At 42.6% G+C, this 15,627-nt stretch overlaps 3 annotated features.

The window, feature by feature from the left end:
* Positions 441–600: an enhancer, noted in NCBI's record as "active region_23525". NCBI's record gives its function as "activates an Ori minimal core promoter by ATAC-STARR-seq in GM12878 lymphoblastoid cells {active_cell/tissue: GM12878}" and the evidence as "EXISTENCE:reporter gene assay evidence [ECO:0000049][PMID:35858748]".
* Positions 9,605–9,684: an enhancer, noted in NCBI's record as "active region_23526". NCBI's record gives its function as "activates an Ori minimal core promoter by ATAC-STARR-seq in GM12878 lymphoblastoid cells {active_cell/tissue: GM12878}" and the evidence as "EXISTENCE:reporter gene assay evidence [ECO:0000049][PMID:35858748]".
* Positions 9,865–9,924: an enhancer, noted in NCBI's record as "active region_23527". NCBI's record gives its function as "activates an Ori minimal core promoter by ATAC-STARR-seq in GM12878 lymphoblastoid cells {active_cell/tissue: GM12878}" and the evidence as "EXISTENCE:reporter gene assay evidence [ECO:0000049][PMID:35858748]".

Below are 15,627 nucleotides of genomic sequence, written 5' to 3' on the forward strand. Positions count from 1 at the left end.
TTTTTAAAATTTTCTACAGAGAAATTGCCAACAAATTTCCTATAGAGAGATCATATTAGTTTATACACATACATATTCATACACATTTTTTTCCTTAAAATAGAGATGAGGTCTTGCTATGTTGTCCAGGCAGGCCTCAAACTCCTGGCTTCAAGTGATCCTTCCTCCTCAGCCTCCTAAACTTCTAGGATTACAAGTATGAGCCTCCATACCTGGTCCACATACTTTTTAAATTAAAAAAAAAAAAACAGTCCCTGTGTTGAAGGAATTTATAGGAGACAGGGTGTAGACAAATAAGAATGCTGTAACATTAGAGACTATATATTCAGGACCCTTTAGAGACCCAATGGAAACCATCTTAACACAGAAGGGAAGATATTGGCTCATGGACTTTGATTGGCCTTGCTTGGGTTATATGCCATCCTTGGATCAATTACAAAAGACAGAATATGGCATTCTAGGCCAAAATCAGGAGCCTATGCTACAAGCCCTGCCTGTTGTCAGCACCCTGTGGCAAGGGGTGGGAGACGGCAAGATCTTCCCCCTTTTCCCAAAAAAGGGTGCCAGAAGAAGGGGGATGAGGAAGGTAATTGTGGGAGACCAAGCATGAAGCAGTTAGTTTTGCCTGGAGGAGAGGGGCAAAGGCACAGAGGAAGTGATACTCATGCTGAGTGTTCAAAGACGGAGAGGTGTTTCCAGGCAGCTAGCGTCAGGAGGGCATCTGTAGAGGAAGAGGGGGAGTGTTATGAGCAATGGGGAAGGGAGCCAGAGAGATAGTCAGAGGCGAGATCTGGATGTGGCTTCTGGGTCAGGTGAAGGTGTTGAGCCTTCATTCTGAGGGTCATGGGGAGCCCCCAAAATAAAGATGAGGACATGTGTGTTTGGTTGCCTTTGCTTCTGCAGCAAAATACAGTGCCTGGCAAACACTTTTACAAGCAATGATAGTAATAATATGGCTGCCTCCTGCACTAGACTCTATGACTCTCTGATGGCCATGAGGAGGACGGATTTGGGGGCTTTTGACAATAGCCTCCACTAAACCAGTGTGTTTCCAATGTTTTTGACTGTGATCCTCAGTAGGAAATACATTTTACATTACAATTCAACTAAATTTCACTGAATTATGTTAAAAAAAATCCCCGCCCTAGACTACCAACTCCATCTTGGCAGTGACCATGACTTATAACTCTTGATAATTACCATAGGTTTGATGTCTGGTGAACTGTCTCATGGTGGGCCCATAATATTACTGTTACTACTAAATTCATATTTACTGAATGAACAGGTGCAGATGTCGATAAATGATTCAAAATATTTGCAAACTACAGAGAGTTATACAGGTGCGAACAATTGATGTTGGCAACTAACTCAGACACATATTGATGAGCCTGTATGTTAGACCAATTGCCGGAGCAGGCAGCGGGAGGTGATGCTGAGGGCAGAGGAAGGGGGTAGAGGGAATTTACTGCCCATGGAGGGTGGTTCTCCATGCACCACATTTCAATGATTCATGCTACTTCCTGGGCCACAGTTCTCCTCCATAACCGCACATCCTTTTTCACAGACTGTGAGTGATTTCAATAGTATATGAAAACTATGACTCAGAGGCTGGAAATCAAAGGGTTTTCTTTGAAGGCCGGAAAAATTTCATCTCAAAGAAAGTGCAACAAACGCACAAGGTAGTCTTTTTCTCTGAATAGAGACATGGGTTTAAAACTAGGAATAGTAAATGACACAGGCACAGAGACGGGAAAAAAGCCACTGTTGTAGATATCTTGAAAGTGCATTTGGCTCACGGAGGGTCTCCAGGGACCACTTAAGCCCATCATTTCCATCCCACCTATTGAAGCTTATTGATTAGTACAGTCGCAAAACCCTTCCCATGTGTTCTCTGTAACCAAAGTTCTCTAAGTAAAAAGCAAAGCCCAGGAAACAGCTTTAAAAGGAGAAGTTTACCTAAAGATGAGAAATACTAACTGGGGCTGAGCACTGGCTTCCTCCCAATGTCAATATTCCTGCAAGGTTTAAGGATTGGGATCCCATTTGAAGAAGCACTTGTCGGAAGAAATAATGATGTTCTGTCTTTTTCAAAGAGTCGGAAACCTTTGTGATGAACAAAGTCATAATTAAAGACCTTTAGTTCAGGATTGCACTAACAGTTTGATAGTTACGGATGACTGAGGAGAAATTTCCAATACCAATTATATGGAGCCTCTTTCTTTCTTTCTTTCTTTCTTTCTTTCTTTCTTTCTTTCTTTCTTTCTTTCTTCTTTTTTTTTTTTGAGACGGAATTTCACTTTTGTTGCCCAGGCTGGAGTGCAGTGGGGCGATCTCGGCTCACTGCAACCTCTGTCTCCTGGGTTCAAGCGATTCTCCTGCCTCAGCCTCCCGGGTAGCTGGAATTATAGGCATCTGCCACCAGGCCTGGCTAATTTTTTGTATTTTTAGTAGGGACGGGGTTTCACCATGTTGGCCAGGCTGGTCAAGAGCTCCTGACCTGAGGTGATCCACCTGCCTCGGCCTCCCAAAAGTGCTGAGATTACAGGCGTGAGGCCTACATGGATCCCTTTTCATTCAACAGACAAGCAGACAATTAAGATAATATTCTAAAAAGGCCTTAGAGTTCCAGATTAAGGAACCTTGGGACCAGGCTGACTTAGGCTAAATTCCACTCTCTCCCCCATGTCACAGGTAAGATCCATGCCTTGGAAGTTAGGTAGTTTTTGCCTTGAACATCTTCAGTAATCAGCTTGAATTTTCTAAATGCAACTTCATCATTCTGCAAATCAGCAAGACTCACTTCAAACACACGACCCTTCAGACTACCAGGTGCAATTTTGGTTCCCTGGGTCCTGGTGACCAGTGTCTTTCCAGTATTTCTTCTACTGAACATAGCATGCTTTCACATCGTACCAATCTTTCTTAGAAAATGGATCAACCAGCCAGGGGTGGTGGCTCACACCTGTAATCCTAGCACTTTGGGAGGCCGAGGCAGGTGGATCACCTGAGGTCAGGAGTTCAAGACCAGCCTGGCCAAGATGGTGAAACCCCGTCTCTACTAAAAATAGAAAAATTAGACTGGGCGCAGTGACTTAAGCCTGTAATCCCAGCATTTTGGGAGGCCATGGCGGGTGAATCACCTGAGGTCAGGAATTTGAGACCAGGCTGGCCAACATGGTGAAACCCCCGTCTCTACTAAAGATACAAAAACTTAGCCGTGTGTGGTGGCACACGCCTGTAATCCCAGCTACTTGGGAGGCAGAGGCAGGATAATTGCTTGAACCTGGGAGGCAGAGGTTGCAGTGAGCCGAGATCGTGCCATTGCACTCTAGCCTGAGCAACAGAGTGAGACGCTATCTCAAAAAAAAAAAAAAAAAAAATTAGCCAGGCATGGTAGCAGGCACCTGTAATCCCAGCTACTCAGGAGGCTGAGGCATGAGAATTGCTTGAACTCGGGAGGCGGAGGTTGCAGTGAGCTGAGATCACACCATTGTATTCCAGCCAGGGGGATAGAGCAAGACTGTCTCAAAAAAAAGAAAAAAGAAAAAAAGAAAATGGATCAGCCACTTCTTGGCTCCCTTTTTGCTGTCTTTCGTAAGGTACTTGTTCTTGCCAACCACCATGTTGCTGCTCAGAATGATCTTTTCAATAAACGGTACTGAAAGAACTGGACAGCCATATGAAAAAAATGAACTTCGACCTTTAGCTCACATCATACACAAAAATTAATTTGAAATAAATAATAGAGACAAAAGTTGTGAACATAAATACATTCAAAAGCTGTTGGAACCCCCAAAGCACTTTTTTTTTCTGGCAAAGTCCCACCTCAGCCTCCGAGTAGCTGGGACTATAGGTGCGCACCACCACACCTGGCTAATTTTTGTATTTTTTTGTAGAGACAGGGTTTCGCCATGTTGCCCAGGCTGGTCTTGAGTTCCTGAGCACAAGCAATCAGCCCACCTTGGCTTTCCAGCATGCTGGGATTATAGGTATGTGCCACCACACCTGGCTTCCAAAAAGACTTTAAACCTTGAGAGAGAACTGGTGATCTGAGTCACTTAGCATGTAGTTGCAACTTCTGCTTCTTAGATTATAGATCAACTCTCTTTTCTCATTGTTCTTGTGCTATAAATGACTGGGAGAGACCAGAGACCAGATGTCCTCCCCTTCTAATCACTGACCTTTGTTATAGATTGTCTCCTGCATTATTCTGTACCTAACTCAAACCAGATGGCGCAAAAGACCTCATGACTGTTTCATCTTCAGTATGGAATGTTCAGTATATCTTTCCTGAAAGAAAAAGATGACCTTCACCAATCAGACCATTGTAATTATGCATTAAGCCTTACATAAGGCCGGGCATGGTGGCTCACAGCAGGAATCCTAGCACTTTGGGAAACCAAGGTGGGATAATCACTGGAGCCCAGGAGTTTAAGGCCAGCCTGGGCAACACGGCGAAGCCCTGTGTCTATAAAAAATTGACTGGGTATGATGGCACACACCTGCAGTCCCAGCTACTCAGCAGACTGAGGTGGGAGGATCACCTGATCTCAGGAGGTCGAGCCTGTAGTGAACGCTGATGGTGCCACTGCATTCCAGCCTAGGTTGCAGAATGAAAGTCTGTCTCAGGAAAAAAAAAAAAAAAAAGCCTTGTATAAAAAAAGTTAAAATTCTGATTTTTTCTCCTAAACTTTGTCTATGTAAACCACCCCAAACTTCTGCACTTCAGAGCACAACAGTACAATTCCATCTTTCAAATTTGTGCTTCCTGGGTGGCTGTCCTCAAGCTTTGTGCTCAAAAAAACTCTACATTTAATCATATTTTCTAAATTTTATTATTTTAGGTTGACAAAGTAAAGGCTAAAACTATAAAACTTCTAGAAAAAAAATAGGAGAAAATGTTCACAAACTACAGTCTTATGGTAGACAAAGATTTCCTGGACAGGACACAAAAGTATAAACCATAAGAGAGAGAAAAAAAAGATAAATTAGACTTCATTAAAATTTAAAAATTGCCTGTACTTTGAAAGGTACTATTAAGAAACTGAAAAGGCAGGCCACAGTCTGGAAGAAAATATTTGCAATGCAAATATTAGATAAAGGACTTGTACCCAACATACATAAAGAACTCTTAAAATTCAATGAAAGAAGGCAACTCACAAAAAAAAAAAAAAAAAAAGAAGAAGAAGATTTGAACAAACCCTTCAAAAAAGATGATATATAAATGGCCAGCAAATACATGAAAAATGTTCAACATTATTAGTTATCACGGAATTGTAAAGTAAGGCCACTGTGAGATATCACTTAGAAGAATATTCAGCTTTAGAAAACAGTTTGGCAGTTTATTTATCCCTTACCCTATGACCCAGCAATTCAACTCCTAGGTATTTACTAGCCTGAGAGAAATGAATCACCTAAGCCCTTTATTTAGCTTCTCACAAGTTCACTGATTCACTCTGTGACACTGGCCAGGTTCTTCCCATCTCTGGCCCTGTTTTCCATCTGTGGAAAGCAGATGTATGGGTTGGGCTAGGTCAGGGATGGCAAACGACGTTTGTCTTCAGTACAAACTCCTTATCACTGCCAGGGACTGCCCAGACTACCTCTGTGATGAGAAGGAATGTCTGATAGAAATTGAGAGCTCTGTGACCCACTAACAATGTCTGCTAGAGACATGAGAATGACCCAGAAAGGCCACATACTTCCTATATGCTATATGCCCACAAAAAGATTTGTGCATGAATGTGCATAGCAACTGTATTCATAGCAATCGAAAACTGGCAATAACTCAAATTCCAGATAGATTGTGGTACATCCACACAATAGTTTATTACCCAGTAATATGAAAACTATTAATATATGCAACAACATTGATGATTCCTTTCTTTATATTGAGTGAAGGAAACCAGAAACAACTCTATGAGTCAACGTATGTGAAACTGCCGGAAAAGGCAAAACTAAGCTATACTGACAGGAAGATCTGTGGTTGCCTGGGGCTGGGGTGAGAGAGGGGACTGGCTGGAGGTGGCAGGAGACTTCTGAGGGAATGGAAATGTTCTAAATTTTGATTGGGGCAGGTGCAGACGTTTGTCAACATTCACCAAGTTGTGGCGGGGGGCAGTGGTTCATGCCTGTAATCCCAGCACTTTGGGAGGCTGAGATGGGCAGATCACTTCAGATCAGTAGTTCGAGACCAGCCTGGCCAACATGGCGAGACCCCGTTTCCACTAAAAATACAAAAATTAGCTGGGTCGGTGGTGGGCACTTGTAGTCCCAGCTACTTGGGAGGCTGGGGCAGGAGAATCTCTTGAACCCTAGAGACGGAGGTTGCAGTGAGCCGAGATTGAGCCACTGCACTCCAGCCTGGGTGACCGAGTGAGACTGTCTCAAAAAAAAAAAAAAAAAAATTATCAAGTTGTATGTGCACTTAAAATGGAGATATATTAATATATGTCGATTGTACCTCAAAAAATGATTTTTACAGAAGTAGCTTTGAAACGTAATGAACTGTTCCACAAGCACGTGGCAGGAAGAGGGCCTGCTACCAGGTATGCTGTGGGAGAAACATGGAAGTGAGAAAGGACAGGGCACCTTCAGAAACACATTAGTTTGTAAAATCGCTCTCAGCTTTGCGAAGACCTTTCAGGCGCGCTCGGAGAGGCTGGCCAATTGCTTCTCAGATCCCCTATTAGAAATTTGACCACGGGCCTAACGGGAACAGGGCTGCCACGGAGCATGGAGAGAGGGCCTGGAGCCCAGGACAGATCATTGCTGACTTGGTTCTGAGTTCTCCATAAAAAACCTCATGGCCTTTCTCCTCCTCCAGACTCACGTGCCCCACCTCACTTCCTTAAGAATCTAGGCTCACAGCACGCAGGCAGGCAGCCATCAACCCCGAGCCCCCTTCCCCTTCTCCTTCGGGGAGAAAGCACTAGATGGAATAAGTCCCGTCAGTCCCAGCGTTCAGACATTCTCCTAAGTACTGTTCTTTTAAAAAGCTGGAAAGTTGGGTTAAGGAGTTTGGGGCTATTATTAGTGCCAAACACTATAAAAAGGAAATGCCACTGATAATCTTAGATGGCTGTATTTTCATACGGGGATAATTCAAGCTTCCTTCTTAGAGTTCTCAGTCATAAGAAACCCTTCATTAAAATACTCCCTCGGGCCATAGCCTCAAACCTAGCATTGCTCAAATCCTTTGGGACTATTCAAGTCAGGACTGACCGGGAGAACTCAGCTGGCATTTTTTAGCCCATTTTTATGGCTGCCTCCTTCTGAGTTTCTCGTGTTGTTCTACCAGAGGAAAATAACGAATGATTCAACCTATGCACAAATATTTATTTGCACTGCTTACATGGAGGCGGCATAGCAAAGGGCCTTAGGGGGCAGGCTCTTGTCAGGCTTAGCTGAGCTCTGTCCCTGTGTGGCATCAGGTAAGTTGCTCTTCCTTTCTGAGCTTCCCCTACAAAATGAGCTGTCAACCCTAGGAGCTGATGCCTGGTGCCTACCACTTAGTAAACTCTACACGAATATTAATTTGTTATTACTATCACTGTTATGCATTCAGTTACATCCACCATGGATACAGCAAAAATGCCGTTTCACCCTTGAGAATCCTACATTCCACCTTGCTACACAAAGCATACAGACAGGAGAATAAGAGAACAGCAGAAGTGATGATACCCTACCCCGTGATGAAGAAGCTGCTAAAAGGCATCTCCTTTCATCTTTCATACACTGCAGGTCCTGTGCTTTGAGTGTTATTGAGAAGCAATGTGTCAATATGTGTCAAAAGTCCTTAAAATGTGTTTGCCCTTTGACCCAGATTCCCTCTAGAAATTTTCATAAGAAAACAATTACATTTGTGAGCAGAGATTTCTCCTGGATATTACTGAGAGTAACAAAAATTTGGTAACAGTCTGTCTGAATGACTAACAACGGAAGTTAAATACATATTTAGACATTATGATTGATGAACATTTATGCAAAGCAGGTCACAAAACAATATGTGCAGTGTAGGTCCATTTCGAGGGTATGACCTGAAGTACAATTTTTAAATCGATACATAATAATTGTGCATATTTATGGGGTACATATAATTTGATACAGGCTTATAACGTGTGATGATCAAATCTGGGTAATTGGCATATCCATCACCTCAAACATTTATCATTTCTTTGTGTTGGGAACATTTCAAATTTTCTCTTCTAGCTATTTTGAAATATACAATAAATTATTGTTAACTGTAGTCACTCTACTTTACTATTGAACACTAGAACTTATTCCCTTCTATCTAACTGTATGTTCAGACCCATTAGACAACCTCTGTTCATCCCCCCCTTCCCCACAAATAGTGGTTTGTTTTTTTATTTTGTTCGCCTTCAGAAACACGTTAGTTTTATGAGAAGGAATCTTGCTCTGTCACCCAGGCTGAAGTACAGTGGCGCAATCTCGGCTCACTGCAACCTCCACATTCTGGATTTAAGAAATTCTCCTGCCTCAGCCTCCTGAGTAGCTGGGATTACAGACATACCATGCCCAGCTAATTTTTGTTTTTTTTTTTTTTTTTTTTTTCAGTAGAGATGGGGTTTCACCATGTTGGCCAGGCTGGTCTCGAACTCCTGACCTCCAGTGATTCCGCCCACCTCAGCCTCCCAAAGTGCTGGGATTACAATCATGAGCCACTGTGCCTGGCCTGAAATCGTGTTTTTGTTAAGGATTTATTGTAACCAGAAATTCTAAGAAGGAAGCTTCAATTATTTCCATATTACAGATAATATCTATATACATATATATATATATAGAAAAGGTATATAGACCTTACTCACCAATGGTTTTATTATGTGTGAGTATTTGAGTGGGTTTTTTTTTTCATTTCATTTATTTGTACTTCTATAGAGTGAGTATTGCTTTTAGATAAGGAAAAAAAACAGAAAATTAGGAAAAGCCAATTCAAATAATCTAGAAAACCGAAAGAGAGAACAAATACAGCACAATAGGCAAAGTAAGCAGTAATATGGTTTTTCCTTGACATTTGTAAGAATTCTAGGCCTTTTATTTAGCTTCCCACAAATTCACTGATTCATTCTGTGGCATTGGCCGGGTTCTTCCCATCTCTGGCCCTGTTTTCTATCTGTGGAAAGCAGATGCATGAGTTGGGCTAGGTCAGGGACGGCAAACGACTTTTATCTTGAGTACGAACCCCTTATCACTGCCCGGGACTGCCCAGACCACCTCTGTGATGAGAAGGAATGTCTGATAGAAGGTGAGAGCTCTGTGACCCACTAACAATGTCTGCTAGAGACATGAGAATGAGGAATGACCTAGAAAGGCTATCCACTTCCTGTATACTCCATAATGTAAAGGGCTCTTACAACTCTATGAATCTGGCACATCTTTAAGCAAAAATATTAATCTGAATTTGGAAAGTCATAGGGGTTGGGGGTACCTAACTACATGTATTCATTTTTGGTTAGGTTGCACTGAATGACTAATTTTCCATCTTACTTCACAGACCCCAAGACATAACTTAGGATTTACTAAAGCAGAAAATGGCCATGGTGGTGGTGTCTCAATTGTATTTGCACCCATTATGTCCAAGCCCAAGGACAAAGAATAGATCTGCAGCTGTTGTTTCAGCCTCTTCAACCTGAAACAATCTGAAAGCCACAGCTGTTGCAGGCATAAACCTGATCCTGGCTTTGTCCTTGGTTTATGTCTCATGTTTTGGGGAACTCCGAAAGCCACTCTACTGGGGTTGATTCAGAGAAGGCCACATTTATTCATTACCCTCCTGGAAAGCAGAAGTGCTAAATGCACATTTGTTAGTGGACTTTCCAGCATGGAGTGGGATCCATTCCTGTCTTGACTCAAGGCCCACAGAGGAGAGATGACATGCCTAAAGTCACGCATGAAGTTCAATCTACACCCAGCTTTGCCTGCAGGCAAGCAAACATGGATTCTTTGGTAAAAATCCACATCAGGTTGTCAGCAGCTTGTTATTTGGAGGAAGGGGCAGTCTGAAGGGCTTGACTGTATCTCAGCTGAACCACACTAATCTACCATAGCTTCCACAGAGAACAGCAGGCTGTTTTCAGGGATCTCAGCAACAGCTGTGCCTTCAAACCAAGACACTTCAGAAAAATGATCCGAAAGTGGGCCGGGTGTTTCAGCAGGATTTGGTGGGACTTTCCTACTCAAATGGCCCTTTGTGTGCTTTTAAAAGACAGGGCATTAACCTCGTGCGTGGCTAAAGCATGATGGATGACTTGGAATTCTCCATTTACATTTGGCTGGTGGCCACAGAGGAACCGTCAAAACGCCTGGGTATCGGATGGACAGTACCTGGCTTGTTCAGACTTGTTTCTGATGGAGTGAGTGGATCCCGAGGCTTTTGCTCTGCCCAGGTTTGATAAACTAAACATGGCCAGGCTGTTAGAAAGCTGACTCCAGGGTTCCTCTCACTGCAGCAAAATTCAGTGTCCTGAATCCATAGCCTCTTTAATCATCTTTGTTTATATTCAGCATCTTTATCTACTTCAGGGTTACTCTGATCTCTGCCCATTTGTTGCAAGATGTGTGTGGTCCTACCCAAGACTTGGGCAGCAGGAGCACAGGGCCTGTGCTCATGTAGCTTCTACCCAGCTCCATGAAATCACCTGCTTGATCCTTTTACCTTCTCAGTAAGATGCTTGGCAAGTGAGAGTGAATCTGGATCCGTCAGTTCTCCGGACAATCTTGTCAGGCCAGAGGGAGTCAGAAGTTGACCTTCTGCACCATGCTGGCACCATTATGTGAGAGTATGCAGCACTCTCAGGCAGGAGCTAGCTAGCGTAAATTATTAGGTTCTTTTCTGGCAGACCTGGGTCCTGCTCTTCCGTTTAAGAGGAGCTGTTTACGTCAATTGCTCCTCACTGGGCCTCAGTTTGTTCACCTTTCACTTGTGTTTTTCATGAAGCTCAAAGGAGAAAGCAAAGTGTTCTGAATGACTTTATACAAACATGAGGAGGTGGTAGTGGCCAGTACCCTCCTAACAATTGTCTCATCACATCTTGAGGAGAGAGAGAAGCTAAACACTAGTGCAAGTGGATACTTAAGTAAGATAAACTTATTTCCCTTCTAATCATTTTTTCAAGCTTGGCCTTGTTCTAGCAGCTTGGAGGATTTCAGCTGGGTGTCCCAGAGACATATAAAATAGAGCAGAGAGGGGAGGCATTGATCTATTGCTAATAACACAAGAGGGAAATACTGGAACATAACTACTGCTAATAATAATGACAAACACATTAGTATTTATTATCACCCAATACTGTGTATAATCATTAACCTTCCACAGCAATCCTGTGAGGTATGTACAATTATTATTCTTATTGTACGGAGAACTGAAGTTTGGAGAGGCGAAGTTACTTACACAGTGTCACACAGCCCTAAAAGTGATGGAGCCAGGAGTCTTTCCTAGATATGCCTGATCCCAAAGCTGATAGGTGAAAAATGTGCAGTATGAAAAGCATTCCCTGGGCTTCAAGATGATGACTGGCTTCTTTTTCTTCTTCTTCTTCTTTTTTTTTTTAATCATTATCAGGCAGCCTCCCAGCCAGAGTAGGCTCAGGGACTTCCTTGACTGGCTTCTTGCGTCACACGAGGGGCCTGTTTATATGTCCCTGAGTTTGTCCAGACTAATTCGCAATAAATAAAAACCCACTACCACCACAACCAAAAACAAAAACAAAAACCTTGAACTAGAGAACTGTTCAAGAACCAGTGAGGATGAGCCCTGCAGGAAATGGAACCAAAGACTCAAACACAGTCGGGCTCTATGTCTTCCTGTCTCTGCTTCTGTGTTGCGATGATTTGCTCCTCCCAAAGATGGGTTTTACCCAAACCCCAGAGAACACGGCCACAAGTAGATCCAGACTCACATTCTTAGAGAATCATTTTCCATGAGGAAAGCAAAATTGCCTGCCCTGGAAAGTCCACTTAGAAAAATCCTTGTGAAGGCTCTGACTGGCCTGCTGGGTAGGACACTGAGCCCTGGGCCAGTCACTGTGACCGGGTGCACTATTGTGATCAGCCGCACCAGAACCGGAGGATCTCTCAAAAGAACAGGCAGGAATGGGGGTGGTTATCACAAGCAGACAGGCAAGGTAGCAGGGATCCACTGTGCTCTGGCAGGTGGCAATGGAATTAGGGATGCCTTGGTGGCCCCTTTAATCTTGCAGCTAGCTACCTTTCATGTTTTCTTCCAATCCTAAGCTAGCTCAGGATCTGGACAGGGCGTTTGTATCTATGGAAGAAAGGACTTAACCTGAGAGTTCTACTTGACGTGGATCTTACCCCAGGATTGTTTGTCAGCAAAGTTAACGTGGTAGAGCAGAAAGAGTGCTGAGTTTGGAGGCAGACAGACTTGAGTTCAGGTCTTAATTCTTCATCACTTGCGGGGTGGTGTTGGATATGTTGTTTCACCTCTGTAAGTCTTCGATTTTTTTATTGGCTAAATAAAGATGATAACACTTATTTACAAGCTTGTTGTAAGGACTAAGTGAGATAATCACATAAACCATCAAATACACTGGCATATACTAGGTGCTTAATAAAGTGTACCTTCTACTAATTAATTCAACAAATATTTACTGAGTGTGCAATACATTGCAGGCACAGTGGTAGGTGTTAGGGATAATGCATCAAGCAAGAGATACAATGTTCCCATTCTTTTGGAGCTTCTAGTAGTGGGGGTTGGTGGGGAAAAGATAAGTGAGGAAATAAGACAATTACAGGTAATAATGAGTGCTTTGAAAAAAATAAAATTCTTTTTTTTTTTTTTTTTGAGACAAGCTCTCACTCTTTTGCCCAGGCTGGAGTGCAGTGGCACAATCTCGGCTCGCTGCAGCCTCTGCCTCCCACGCTCAAGCAGTCCTCCCACCTTAGCCCCCTGAGTAGCTGGGACTACAGGCATGTGCCACCATGCCTGCTAATTTTTGTGTTTTTTGTAGAGATGGGGTTTCACCACATTGCCCAGGCTGGTCTCAAACTCCTGGACTCAAGTGATCCACCTGCCTCAGCCTTCCAAATTACTAGGATTACAGGCATGAGCCAACACTTCTGGCCAGAAAAAATGAAATTATTTTTATGCTTATATGTATTATTAGTGTGAAAACCCTCCTGCAATGATGTTTGAACCTCCCTGTTCAGTCTCTCACCACTCATTTATCTATGTGTTGGGAACCGTTCTCAGAGTGCAACAATTGCTTCAAGCTTGACTTTGGAAAGGGACTGGACGATTAGCTCTTAAAGTGACATGAAAGAAAGGAAAGGAAAATGGGATGTTGATAGGAGGAAAATCCCGATGTTATCCCTTAGCTCCCAAATTCCTTTTTTTTTTTTTTTTCGAGATGGAGTCTTGCCCTGTCACCCAGGCTGGAGTGCAGTGGCATGATCTCCACTCACTGCAACCTCCACCTCCCAGGTTCAAGCAATTCTCCTGCCTCAGCCTCCCGAATGGCTGGGATTACAGATGTGTGCCACCATATCTGGCTAATTTTTGTATTTTTAGTAGAGATGGAGTTTCACCATGTTGGCCAGGCTGGTCTCAAACTCCTGACCTTGTGATCTGCCCACCTCGGCCTCCCAAAGTGCTGGGATTACAGGTGTGAGCCACCGTGCCCGGCCCCAAATTCCATTTTGTAAATCATTACCTGGTGGGTTTCAAAATCACCTCGGAAGACTTTAAAAGATACAGATTCTCAGGTTGCATTCCAAATATTCAAATGCCAGTGGTTCAGGGAATTTCTTTTTTTCCTCTTTCTTTTTTTTTTAAGTTTTGTGGTAATTTATATGGGCAATCAGACATAAGAAGCACTGCTTGCCAGCCAGCCTATGAATTCCATTAGTCAGGTTGAGAATACAGGGCTGCATCTGTTACTCTGCTAGTCAATGTATACTTCTTTTTCTAGTTCCTAGGAGAAGACATGGATCATGGTTGGCCCCCAGGGAGCTTAGATTCTAGGGGGAGATATAAACAAAATTGCTATGGGAACACAAAGCAGGAACAATTAGCCTTTGAAAATTAGAGAATACTTTCTGGAAGGAAGAATTCTGAATGAGTTAGAATTTGGTTCAGTTGCATGTGACACAGAATACAAGATTATAGTGGATTAAACTAGGTAGAAATATATTTTTCTCTCATATAAAAGTCCCGAGGAAAGTAATCCAGTGCTGGTGTGATGCTCCCATCTTGTTTTTTGACCCTCCTAGGCATGAGTCCTCTGTGGTCCAAAAAAGTTGCTCACATTCCAACCATCACTTCCATATTCCTGACAGTAGGAAGGACAAAAGGGCAGAGAAGGGCATAATCTCTCCCTTTAAAAATATTTTCTGGAAGGTGCACATGAAACTTCCTTTGTAATGTTATAGTCCAGAACTTAGGTACTTGGTCACACCTTGCTTCAGGAGATGAAACAAAGTCTTTATTCAGAATGGCTATGTACATAACTAAAAACTCAGGTTCTATTATTAAAAAAGAAAAGGAAAGCAGCCATTGGGAAACAACTGGTAGACCTCTACACTGAGATATGAAGAATGAGTAGCAATTAGGCAGGGGAAGTCACATAGTAAAGACTGTCCAAGGAGAACTAATGCGTATCATGTCCCCCTTGGCAGGAGGGACACCAAGAAGCACCCTTCTTTCCACATCTTCGTTCTCATCCTTCATGTTTTGATCTAAAGCCCTCCTGGATAGTGAAACCCCATCTATACTAAAAATATAAAAATTAGCTAAACATAGTGTTGGGGACCTGTAATCCCAGCTACTTGGGAGGTTGAGGCAGAATAATTACTTGAACCTGGGAGGCAGAGGTTGCAGAGAGCTGAGATCACTCAACTGCACTCCAGCCTGGGCAACAGAGGGAGACTCTGTCTCAAAAATAAATAAATAAATGAAAAATAACGTCCTCCTGGGATGAGTCTGCCGGCCCTAGCTATTCAGTGCTTGGATTTACAGTGACCTCAGCACAATACTGGCCTCAAAGCCCTTCATGTCACTGGAATGATGGCTGCTTCGAGAAAACCCCGCCTTTTCATCTGTCAGTAAGAGAACTCACTCTAAGATCTCATCATTGACATTTATCAGGACAAATTTCTGAAATCTCTTTAGAAGAAATGACAATCCCAACTCTTTGATATGATTAGTTATGGCATATCTGCCTGAAGCAATATTATACAAACATGGAAGGTGATCATTTATGAAAGCACGGAGTATGAGAAACAGCTCATGACAAAATATTGAGAAAATGCAAGACTGTGCATGTGTTGTGATTATAATCATGTGAAAAATGTGTGTGTATGTAAACAAATATTAGAAAGAGCATCATAAAATACAAATGATTACTGGATGGTTAAAAGCTTTTTCCTCCTTGGAAAATTCCCTTTAGTGTTGTTATGTTGTTTTCATAAATAAAATTTGAAAATAAGTCTTGCAAGCATTACGTGTTGTCAAAAAAAATTTTATGGTGTCAATGGTAAATATACATAAGAATCACCTGAAAAGCTTACTAAAAATGCATATTCACAGGCTCCAGCCCAAGAAATTCTGATTCTATAGGTCTGAGGAATGGCTGCATTTTTAACAAGCAT

The sequence above is a fragment of the Homo sapiens genome, chromosome 5, assembly GCF_000001405.40.
Source record: "Homo sapiens chromosome 5, GRCh38.p14 Primary Assembly".
In the NCBI taxonomy this organism is placed as follows: Eukaryota; Metazoa; Chordata; class Mammalia; order Primates; family Hominidae; genus Homo; species Homo sapiens.